Genomic DNA, 12,756 nt, shown 5'->3' with positions numbered 1-12,756 from the left:
TACAGCACATGAGCGTGATCAGCCCCTTTACCATATGACCAGCAAGAAGGCTCTCACTAGATGCAAGCCCCCTAACCTTGGACTTCTTAGACTCCATAACTGTAAGAAATAAATTCCTTTTCTTTATAAATTACCCAGTTTCAGGTATTCTGCCATAAGCAACAGAAAATAGACTAAGAGGCAGGGCACAGTGGCTCATGCTTATAATCCCAGCACTTTGGGAGGCCAAGGTGTGGGAGGATCACTTGAGCCCAGGCATTCAAGACCAGCTTGGGCAACATAGACCCCATCTCTACAAAAAACAAACAAGCCAGGCATGGTGGCATGCACCTGTAGTCTCAGCTACTTGGGAGGCCGAGGTGGGAGGATCACTTTAGCGTAGGAGGTGGAGGCTGCAGTGAGCCATGATCACGCCACTGCACTCCAGCCTGGGTGACAGAGCAAGACCCTGGCTCTAAAAAAAAAAAAAGAACAAACAAAATTGTTACTGAGAAGTGTGGCTGTTTCTGATAATGAATACCTGAAAATGTGGAAGCAGCTTTGGAACTGGGTAATAAGCAGAGGCTGCAAGAATTTGGAGGAGCAGGCTACAAAACACCAAGATTCTAGTGAAGGCTTAGAGCACAAGAAGACTAGGGAGAGTTTATAACTCCTTAGAGATTGATTAAATGGTTACAACCAGAATGCTGATATAAATATGGACAGCGAAGGCCATTCCGATAAGGTTTCAGATGGAACTGATGAGCGAGGTATTGGAAATGGAAGTAAAGGCCATCCTTGTTATAAATTGGCAAAGAACTTGGCTGAATGGTGTCCGTCTCCAAGGGCTTTGTTGTAGGCCAAACTTAAGAATGATGAATTTGGGTATCTGGCAGAAGAAATTTCTAAGCAGCAAAGTGCTCAGGCTACTGCATGGTTATGTCTAACTGTTTACAGTGAACTGCTAGAGAAAAGGGAAACAGAGCAGAAACATTTGGAAAATTCACAGCCTTGTCATGTGGTAGAGAATGAAAAAGAGTTTTCAGGAGTGGAACCAAGGGTGCAGAGGAGCCACCACTTTATGCCTAAAAGGGAGCCAGGTGCTAATAGTCAAAACAATGAGGAAAAGGCCCTAACGGCACTTCAGAGATCTTTGAGGCAGCCCCTCCCTTTAGAGGCCTACAGCCCTTGGAGGACAGAATTGTTTGGGAGTGGAGGAGGCCTGGGACACAACTGCCCTGTGCCACCTCGGGAAAGCTGCTTCCCTCATCTCAGCCCCTCCAGCTGGAGCAGCCATATCTCACATGGACCCAGGTGTGGCTCATGTCTCAGCTCAGGAAGGTACAAGTCGTAAACCTTGGTGGCATCCACATGGTGATAATTCTGCAGGCCCGCATAAAGTAAGAGCTGTGGAGGCTTCGCAACCTCTACCCATTAAAAGGATCTCATTGAAAGCCTGGGAGCCCAGGTAGAGACTTGTAGCGGGGCCAGAGCCACCACAGAGATCCCCTACTGTAGCAATGCCCAGTAGGAACATAAGGTTGGAGCTGCCACAGAGTCTCCAACCAGGGCAATGCATAGTGGAGCCATGGGAACAGGACTGCCACTGAGTCCCTAGAACTGTGAGGTTACTGGCAGCATGCATTGCCCACCTGGGAAACCTTCAGGCAGTGGATTCCAACCAGTTTGAGCAACCATGTGGCCTATACTCTGCACCCATACAGACAGGGCTACCTGAGGCCTTGCAGGTTGGGCTCCCACCACAGTGTGTCCAGGAGTCCCCACATGGAGTCAAAAAAGATTATTCTCCAACTCTAAGATCTTTTGTTTTGTATGTGTGTATGTGTGTGTTTTTTGTTTGTTTGTTTGTTTTAAGACAGAGTCTCTGTCACCCAGGTTGAAGTGCAGTTCACTGGGGCCTCAAACTCCTGGGCTCAAGCAGTCCTCCCACCTCAGCCTCCCGAGTAGCTGAGACCACAGGTACTTAACCACCATGGCCAGCTAATTTTTTTGTTTGTTTGTTTATTTGTTTGTTTGAGATGGAGTCTCGCTCTGTCACCCAGGCTGGAGTGCAGTTGCACAATCCCGGCTCACTGCAAGCTCCGCCTCCCCGGTTCACACCATTCTCCTGCCTCAGCCTCCCGAGTAGCTGGGACTACAGGTGCCCGCTGCCACACCCGGCTAATTTTTTTTGTATTTTTAGTAGAGATGGGGTTTCACCGTGTTAGCCAGGATGGTCTCCGTCTCCTGACCTCATGATCTGCCCGCCTCGGCCTCCCAAAATGCTGGGATTACAGGCATGAGCCACCGCGCCCAACCCATGGCCAGCTAATTTTTACATCTTTTGTAGAGATGGAGCCTTACTGCGTTGCCTAGGCTGGTCTCAAACTCCTGGACTCAAGCGATCCTCCCGCCTCAGCCTCCCAAAATGCTGGGATTACAGGCCAATTCTAAGATCTTGGAAGTAGATAACTTGTTTAGATTTCACAGGCTCACAGATGAGAGTTTGGGCTTTTGAGATAAATTCATTTTCTTTATATATAACCCACTGTCAGGCATTCTGTTATAAGCAACAGAAAATGGACTAATAATACAAACTCAGAATAGCCAAAATAATGTTGAAAAAAAGAACAAACACTGTACAGTTTCAAAATTTACTACAAAAGTATAGTAACCAAAAACAGTGGAATAAGGATAGACATATAAATTAATGTAGTTACATTCGAGTGTCCAGAAATAAACTCTGCTATTTGTGGTCAATTAATTTTTGACAAGGGTGCCAAGATAATTCAATGGGGGAAAAATAGTCTTTACAACAGATGGTTGGATATTAACATGCAAAAGAATAGTTAGACCTCTACTTCACACTATATACAAAAATTAGCTCAAAATATATCATAGACTTAAATGTCAGACTGAAAACTATAAAACACTTAGAAGACAAGAGGTATTCTTCACGAACTCAGGTTAGGCAGTGGTTTCTTTGATATGATGCCAGAAGCATAAGTAACAAAAGGAAAAACAGGTTAGACTAGATCAAAATTTAAAATTTGTGTGCTAGAAACAAGACTACAAATAAAGTGAAAACACAACCCACAGAATGAGAGAAAATATTTGCAAACCATGTATCTGATAAGGGCCTAGTATCCATAATATATATAAAGAATTCTTACAACTCAAACAATTGGCTGGCCACACTAGCTCATGTGTGTAATCCCAATACCTTGGTTCATGTCTGTAATCCCAACACCTTGGGTGGCCGAGGTGTGAAAATCGCTTGAATCCAAGAGTTTGAGGCCAGTCTGGGCAACATAGCAAGACCCCACCTCTACAAAAAAATCTTTAAAAAGCAGCTGGGCGTAGCTGTGCACCTGTGGTCCCAACTACTCCAGAGGCTGTCGGGGGAGGATTGCTTACACCCAGGAGGTAGAGGCTGTTGTGAGCCATGATCATGCCACTGCACTCCAGCCTAGGCAACAGAGCAACACCCTGTCTCAAAAAAAAAAAAAAAAAAAGCCTACAAGTAAAGCAATAAATGATGAATAAATCAATTTTTTAAATGGGTGAAAGATTTGAATAGACATTTCTCCAAAGAACATACGCAAATGTCAGCCGGGCACTGTGGCTCACACCTGTAATACCAGCACTTTCGGAGGCCGAGGAGGGCAGATCACGAGGTCAGGAGTTCGAGACCAGCCTGACCAACATGGTGAAACCCTGTCTCTACTAAAAATACAAAAATTAGCCGGGCATGGCGCGTGCCTGTAATCCCAGCTACTCAGGAGGCTGAGGCAGGAGAATCACTTGAACCCAGGAAGGGGAGATTGCAGTGAGCTGAGATCGCACCACTGCAGTTCAGCCTGGGTGGCAGAGCGAGACTCTGTCTCAAAATAAAATAAAATAAAATAAAAAAGAACATATACAAATGTCCAATAAGCACATGAAAAAATGATCATCAGGGAAATGCAAATCATAACAACAATGAGAAACCAGTTAACACCCATTCAGTTGCTATAATCAAAAAGACAAGGGATCGGGTGGGAGATTTAAAAAGAAGACATCCAGCAAGTGTTGAAAAGGATATGGAGAAATCGGAACCCTCATACATTGCTGATGAGAACATCAAATGAAGACACATGTCCACACAAAAACATGTTCACAAATGTTCATGTAGAATTATTCATAATAGGCCGGGCACGGTGGCTTATGCCTGTAATCCCAGCACTTTGGGAGGCCGAGGTGGGTGGATCACCTGAGGTCAGGAGTTTGAGACCAGCCTGGCCAACATGGTGAAACCCCGTCTCTACTAAAAATACAGAATTAGCCAGGCATGGTGGCGCATGCCTGTAATCTCAGCTACTTGGGACGCTGAGGCAGGAGAATCACTTGAACCCGGGAGGCAGAGGTTGCAGTGAGCCGAGACCGTGTCACTGCACTCCATCCTGGGCAACAAGAACGAAACTCCATCTCAAAAAAAAAAAAAAAAAGTAATATAAAAAAATAGGCCGGGCACAGTGGCTCACGCCTGTAATCCCAGCACTTTGGGAGGCCAAGGCGGGCGGATCACGAGGCCAGGAGATCGAGACCATCCTGGCTAACACGGTCAAACCCCGTCTCTACTAAAAATACAAAAAATTAGCCGGGCGTGGTAGCGGGCGCCTGTAGTCCCAGCTATTCGGGAGGCTGAGGCAGGAGAATGGCGTGAACCTGGGAGGTGGAGCTTGCAGTGAGCCGAGATCGTGCCACTGCACTCCAGCCTGGGTGACAGAGCGAGAGTCCATCTCAAAATAAATAAATAAATAAAAATAAATAAAGACTGAGTCCTCCTTCAAAAAAGAAGATATAAAAAGGAGAAGATCAGTAACTGTGACTGTATCTATGTCCCAAAATACATAAAATTAAAAAGACTAAACGGGGAAATATTTGCAACAGTTAGGACACTGTTAATATTCACAATATATAAAGACTTAGATATCAGAATAGCTATCTAAGATAGCACAGATGGGTAAATGACAGTCTCTTCAGACTCATTTGCTTAGAAGAAACAGAAGCCATTCTAGCTCTCTCGCTTTTCCTCTCTTTTTTTATTTTCTGGTAGAGATAGGGTCTTGCTACTCCTGGCCTCCGCCTCACAAAGTGTTGGGATTATAGGCATGAACCATCATGCCCAGCCCACTCTAGCTATCTTACTGTAAAGGTATAACAGGTAGTCTCCTAGTCATCCAAGGACAAGAAAAGTAGTATACACAGGGAATGGTCCTGGAAAGGCAGGAACAGAGACTGCCCACTCTCTCATAGGCCTGCATAGGTAGCTCTTCTTTCTGCATGTGTTGTATAAAGTCGCTGCATCACTTAGCTCAAATTCTGAAGACTCCGATTGACAAGCCATGAATTGTTTCACTTGGATCAGGTATCCATTCCTTGTCCAAATAGCTGTCATTGTTATAAAAATGGGGCTTTACATTATCTGAGAAGGGGCATTATCTGAGAAGGGGGTAAATAAGTGCTTGGGAAATATATGCAACCTCATCCTTGGGAATCAAAGAAATTTAAATAATGAGAGACTTATTTTCTGCCCATTAAATCATCAGTGATTAACGGTGACAATCAATGCTGACACACTGCTGGGATAGGATGTAAATTGGGTCTGGTCTGGAAAACAATTTTGCTGTATGTATTAAAGACCTTCAGAATGAATATAACCTACGACCCAATAATTCCACTTCTAGGAATCTATGCTAAGGGAATGAATAATCAGAGATATAGGCAAGATTTAATATGTTAATATCTTTGTAGTATTATTTATAATTTTTATTATATGAATGTTTTATTATATGAATTTTTATTATAGGAATGTTTAAGCTAACTGATACACCCACATGCTGAACATGCAGTCATTAATCATGTTTTTGAAAAGTATTTAATGAACAAAAAGTTCTCATAGTATAATGTCGAGTGAAAAAAGCAAGATATGATATTCTTTATATAGTATGAAAGAGAAAAAGTTGAGAATTCAGATGCTAGGAATGAAGAAGCCACAATCATAGTAATCTTAACAGTGCTTATATCTAAATGGTAAGATTACAAATTATTTCATTTTTTTATTTTTTATTTTTTTGAGACAGAGTCTCGCTCTGTGGCCCAGTCTGGAGTGCAGTGGCATGATCTCAGCTTACTACAACCTCCGCCTCCTGGGCTCAAGCAATTCTCCCACCTCAGCCTCTTGACTAGCTGGGACTACAGGCGCACGCCACCACACCTGGCTAATTTTTGTATTTTTAGTAGAGATGGGGTTTCACCATGTTGGTCACGCTGGCCTAAAACTCCTGACCTCAAGTGATCCACCTGCCTCAGCCTCCTAAAGTGCTGGGATTACAGGCGTGAGCCACCACACCTGGCCTTATTTTTCTTATTAATATTTTTTTCTTGTATTACCTTTAGCCAACTCACACCATATTTTTTTATTTTCTTTATGCTTTTTTACATTTTCTGAATGAGAATGAACTTAAACTTTTGTAATATACTTTTGTATATAGAATAAAGTTGTAAATGTTATTTAAAATTAAAAGATGTGGCCTGGCACAGTGGCTCATGCCTGTAATCCCACCACTTTGGGAGGCCGAGGCAGGCAGATTGCCTGAAGTCAGGAGATCGAGACCAGTCTGACCAACATGGTGAAACCCCATCTCTTCTAAAAATACAAAATAAGCCAGGCATGGTGGTGCATGCCTGTAATCCCAGCTACTTGGGAGGCTGAGGCAGGAGAATTGCTTGAACTTGGGAGGCAGAGGTTGCAGTGAGCCGAGATGGTGCCATTGCACTCCAGCCTGGGCAACAAGAGTGAAACTCCATCTCAAAAAACAAACCAAAAAAAAAGATGTGGGCTGGGAGCAGTGGCTCACGCCTGTAATACCAACACTTTGGGAGGCCGAGGCTGGCGGATCACTTGAGCTGAGGGGTTTAGGAGCAACCTGGGCAACATGACGAAACTCTGACTCTAATAAAAAATACAAAAGTTAGCAAGGTATTGTGACATGAGCCTGTAGTCCCAGCTGCTCAGGAGGCCGAGGTGGGAGGATCACCTGAGCCTGGGAGATCAATACTCAATACTGCAGTGACCCGTGATCACACCACTGCCCTGAGCCTGTCTCCAAAAAAAAAAAAAAAAAAAAAGATGTGGAGTAAAGGGGGAGCTACTGAGTATTAAAGCACATTTAAAATTTAAGTCACTATGGTGCTGGCATGAGAAATAGACATAGAATAAATAGGATAGGAGCAGATTTTCGTATGTATGAGAATGTAATATATAATAAAAGGAGAACTTTACCAAATTGTAAAGGAAGGATTATACCATAATTCGTTCAGTTACAAATGGTAACTAAAAGCACCTGCTGTGCCAGGCACTATGCTGAGTGCTGTTTTGGTTTTGGAGGGGTGTTTTGTTTTGTTTTGTTTTGTTTTTGAAACAAGTTCTTGCTCTGTCGCCCAGGCTGGAGTGCAGTGGTGGAATCTCTGCTCACTGCAGCCTTGACCTCCTGGGCTCAAGCAATTCTCTCTCCCACCTCAGCCTTCTGAGTAGCTGGGACCACAGGCATGAGCCATGAGTAATTTTTTTTTTTTTTTTGAGATGGAGTCTTGCTCTGTCACCCAGGCTGGAGTGCAGTGGCACGATCTTGGCTCACTGCAACCTCTGCCTCCTGGGTTCAAGCCATTCTCCTGCCCTCCTGCCTCAGCCTCCCCAGTAGCTGGGATTACAGGCATGCACCACCATGCCCAGCTAATTTTTGTATTTTTAGTAGAGACGGGGTTTCACCATGTTGGCCAGGCTGGTCTTGAACTCCTGACCTCGTGATCTGCCCACCTCGGCCTCCCAAAGTTCTGGGATTACAGGCTTGAGCCACTGTGCCTGGCTGCCACTACTAATTTTTGATAATTTTTTGTAGAGATGGGGGTCTCTACAAAAAGACTAGCCCAGGCTAGTCTTAGTGCTTTTATGTGCTTTTTCTTCTTTACTTATTACAACCTTTTGAGATGTAGGTGGTGCCATCCTCATTCTAAAGATTAGCAAACTAAATCCCCTAGAGGTCCAGGGGATTTAGTTGCCCAGGGTCACATAGAAAAGGAGTAGTGGAGGCCAGGTGCGATGGCTCATGCCTGTAATCCCAGCACTTTGGGAGGCCGAGGCGGGCAGATCACGAGGTCAGGAGTTCGAGACCATCCTGGCTAACACGGTGAAACCCCGTCTCTACTAAAAATACAAAAAATTAGCCAGGCGTGGTGGCAGGCACCTATAGTCCCAGCTACTCGAGAGGCTGAGGCAGGAGAATGGTGTGAACCCAGGAGACGGAGCTTGGAGCTTGCAGTGAGCTGAAATCATGCCACTGCACTCCATCCTGGGCGACAGAGCGAGACTCCGTCTCAGAAAAAAAAAAAAAAAAAAAAAAAGGAGTCGTGGAACCTAGATTAGAACCAAGGATGTCAGTCTCTAAGTTTGCATTCTTTGCCACGACATACTTTGTAGCTAAAGTTCTTAGCAAGGTATCTAGAATATCAGAGGCATTTAGTAAATGTTATTCTTATGTATAACTTATAGTTTGCTGCATATATTAAAGCTTGTATGTAATATTTGTAGTAATGTAACTACTAATAGCAATAATAAAGCTGTCATCATTAAAATTCAGGAAATTCCTTGGGAATAAGTAATGCTGTTATTTTCTGGGGAAAATCCCCAGTGGAATCATGTAATTCCAAAAATCGCACATGATGAAGCATCAATAAATATTGGTTGATTTAATAATTATTTCCTGCTGCCCCATTTCTGAGCCTCTCACTCCTCTGACTCATTAGACCCTACATTCTGTCTCATAATTCATTCAAAAATAGTTGAATAGTAGTGCGGGCCCAAAGATGGAGCTAGCATTTCCTTATAAATGTCCTGACATTGACTTATTTGTTCAGCAAACATCTATTAAGCATCCACTCTGGCATGTACTCTGTTAAGGTTAGAGAGACATTTAAAATTGCAAATTAACATTAAAGTGTAAACCAAACCAAACAAAAAGCTCCAACCCCTAGGAAATGTTCCCTCCTCTGTGGAGCCTTCTCTAGATTCTCCAAGGTAAATTTAGTCACTGACTCAGAGCACCCAGAACAATCTGTTCAACTTCTAAAATCACACCCCTTGCATTGTGTTAGTCTTTCTGTGAGTTCGCTGTTCTCCCACACTTGACTCCTTTAGGAGCTCCTTTAGGTCAATTTTTCTTGCACAGTGGTTCAGGATATGACTGGTACAATTCTGCTTTGAAGGATTTTTTTGAGTTTTGTCTTGTTTTGTTTTTGGCTTGGCATGACCAGATTAATGCATCAGTCACTCTTCCAATAAATATTTATTAATACCTATTCTATGCTATGTACTTGGCTAGATAGTTCATAATAAATAAAGGATGATAAACAAACACAAACAAAGGCAAACAGGCAAGGTCCTAGACCTCATGGGAACTGACATGGGCACTTGAAAAGAATGTGTTTTCTGTGTATTAAGTCAGTCAAGTATTTAAACCTTATTTATTGTACTATTCAAATCTTCTGTGAATTTAAATGTATTTTAGGTATGTTTTACATATTATAGCTTAATAGTGGTATATTAAAATTTCCCACTGTAATTGCATTTGCATTCATTTTCTTCTATTTTTGCTTTACATTTTGCCAATGAAATAAGATGGAAAGGTTAAAAATGAAAGAATGGGCAAAGGTAAATCAAGGAACTATAAATCCAAAAAAAGAAACAATATTAATAACCTGAGCCAGTCATTATCAAACCAGTCCTTCTGACAATCCTGCAGTGTCTTCCTACAATTTCAGGATGACGATCCAAATTCCTTAATCCTGTTTTTGAGTCTCTGTTCTCTGGTCTACTTTCTTTTTTATTTCCCCCACACACACACTTTCTTCTTCGTCGTCTCCTCCTCCTCCTTCTCCCTCTCCCCCTCCCCCCACCACTCTGTCGCCCAGGCTAGAGTGCTGTGGCATAATCTCAGCTCACTGTAACCCTCGCCTCCCAGGTTTAAGCGATTGTCCTGCCTCAGCTTCCTGAGTAGCTGGGATTACAGGTGCCCGCCACCACACCCGGCTAATTTTTTTTATTTTTAGTAGAGACAGGGTTTCACCACATTGGCCAGGCTGGTCTCAAACTCCTGGCCTCAAGTGATCTGCCCGTCTCAGCCTCCCAAAGTGCTAGGATTACAGGCATGAGCCACCGCACCCAGCCTTCTTTTCATTTTTTTCTTTAGTAACCCTATTTAATCCTCACAACCACCCTGTAAAAAGAGCAGGGCAAATTTTATTATCCCCATTTGGTAGATGAGGAAATGCAAGGCTCAGAAAGGTTAAATAATTTGTCCATAGCTATCAACTAGTAAGTGGAGGAACCAACACTCAAATTGAGATCTTCTCTCTTCAAAATTCATACTCTTTCTGTTAAAACGTTCTGGGCTTTTATGTGAACTTCACTTATCCTGGGCCATGTCTTGGGTACCATGATATGGTTCATGACCGCACTTTCCACCACCTGAAGCCCTCAGTGTTCCTCAGGCTGCCACCAATCTGACCTACTTCCTAATCTCGCCTCCTGTCACTCCAAACGTGCTTAGCTTCAGCAATATGGAAGCTGGTGCATTGTGCTGAACCACACCATCAGGCCTTCACACATCATACTCTTCGCTCAACCTGGAACATCCTTTCCCCACCTTTTGTCTCACTAAATTCTACAGGCCCTTTGAAACTGAACTCTTGCTGACTTTTCTCAGGATACCATCTTTCATCTTTACAGTCATGGCCCTCTTCTATGCTCTCATAGCAAGCACTCTGTGCATTCTTCCATCTTGGTACTTAACACACTGTCCTGTCATTGTTGATGTACATGATTCTTTTCCTCTACCACCCAGACTGGAAGTAATGAAAGCAGAGATTCTTTTTCCTTCATTCAGTTAGTATTGCCAAAATCTAGCCAAGTACTGGCTCATGATAGGTTCTTAGCTTAATAAGTTTTTGTGACATGAATAAGTGAGCTTTTGTGGCCTAATAACAGTGCTTTTATTTTCTAGGTACATGGTTCAGTGGCCTGGTGGCCGAATCCTGCATCGCCATGAGCTAGACACCTTCCTTGCACAGGCAGTGTCTACCCAGCTTTATGAACCAGATCGACTCCAAGAACTCAAGGTGAGTTCATGTACCCTCATTTAAGTTCTTTCTTTTATGAGCTTATGGCACTACTTTAGGTCTTTTTTTTTTCCTGAAGCTGAGGAAAATAGTAAGTTCTGCAGGTAACTGTTTGATTTACTTTAACCAAATATTTATGTCTATGAATAAAGCCAAGAGGTGCCTGCTACGCTGCTCTCATACTGATAAATGAGAATGGACAGAAAAGATGGATATTACGCAAGGAAAATAAATATTGGCCCATAGGCCATGGCAAGGTTTCTGACTCTTACAAGATACACTATAGGGGACATATCCTAATGTCCCCTGCTTGTGTCTATTTACTCAGACACACCTCCTTTTAGTGATATGTATTGAGTATTAAGTAGAAGTATAGGAAAGCATAAGGAAGAAAATAAACCCACCCACTGAAGGCAGTAGAGCACAGTAGTATAGAGGGGAGGCTCTGAAGCCGGGCTGCCTTGGGTTTGAATCCTGGCTTCATTACCTCCTAGCTGTGTGACCTTGGGCAGGTTACTTAATCTCTCTAGCTTCAGTTTCCTTACTTGTACAATTGTATATTAGTCTATTTTGTGTTGCTATAAAAGAATACCTGAAACTAGGTAATTTATAAAGAAAAGAGGTTTGTTTATTGAGCCCATTGTTCTGAAAACTGTACAAAAAACATGGTGCCAGCATCTACTCAGCTTCTGGTCAGGGTCTCAGGAAGCTTCTACTCATGATAGAAGGTGAGGGGAATAAGACAAGAGGAGCCAGTGTGTCACATGGTGAGAGAGGGCACGTAAGAGAGAAGGGCAGCAGTGCTGTAATCCCAGCACTTTGGGAGGCTGAGATGGGCAGATCACGAGGTCAGGAGTTCGAGACCACCCTGGCCAACATGGTGAAACCCTGTCTCTACTAAAAATACAAAAATTAGCTGGGCGTGATGGCAGGGCACCTGTAATCCCAGCTACTCGGGAGGCTGAGGCAGGAGAATTGTTCGAACCCGGGAGGCGGAGATTGCAGTGAGCCGAGATTGCACCATTGTACTCCAGCCTGAGCAACAAGAGTGAAACTCTGTCTCAAAAAAAAAGAAGGGCAAGGTGCTGGGCTCTTTCTAGCAATCAGTTCTTGCATGAACTAATAGAGTGAAAACTCGCTCATTACCACAGGGAGGGCACCAAGCCATTCATGAGGGATCTGCCCCCATGACCCAGACACCTCCTACTAGGTTCCATCTACAACATTGGGGATCACATTTTAACATGCAATTTGGAGGGGTCACATATCCAACTGTGTCAGTTTGTGAGGATACTATGTAAAGTAATCCATGTAAAACCCCTAGAACAGTGTCTCACTATTTTTTTTTTTTCAAGATGGAGTTTCGCTCTTGCTGCCTAGGCTGGAGTGCAGTGGCGTGATCTCGGCTCACCACAACCTCCGCCTCCCAGGTTCAAGCGGTTCTCCTGTCTCAGCCTCCCGACTAGCTGGGATTACAGGCATGCGCCACCACGCTTGGTTAATTTTGTATTTTTAGTAGAGACGGGGTTTCTCTGTTGGTCGGGCTGGTCTCGAATTCCC

General features: G+C 43.5%; 1 protein-coding gene across 3 annotated transcripts in view; it reads left to right on the top strand.

Moving 5' to 3' along the window:
- FAM120C (family with sequence similarity 120 member C) overlaps positions 1-12,756 on the top strand; it is a 114,931-nt gene that overhangs the window by 80,747 nt on the left and 21,428 nt on the right. For all 3 annotated transcript variants that reach the window (NM_001300788.2, NM_017848.6, XM_006724589.5), the window contains exon 11: positions 11,082-11,196. In NM_001300788.2, coding sequence (NP_001287717.1) covers positions 11,082-11,196 — 115 coding nt within the window. The remainder of the gene's footprint in view (positions 1-11,081; positions 11,197-12,756) is intronic.

Source organism: Homo sapiens, chromosome X (assembly GCF_000001405.40).
Source record: "Homo sapiens chromosome X, GRCh38.p14 Primary Assembly".
Lineage (NCBI taxonomy): Eukaryota > Metazoa > Chordata > Mammalia > Primates > Hominidae > Homo > Homo sapiens.
The sequence above is the reverse complement of the archived record's forward strand: the minus strand, read 5'-3'. Positions and strand labels throughout refer to the sequence as shown.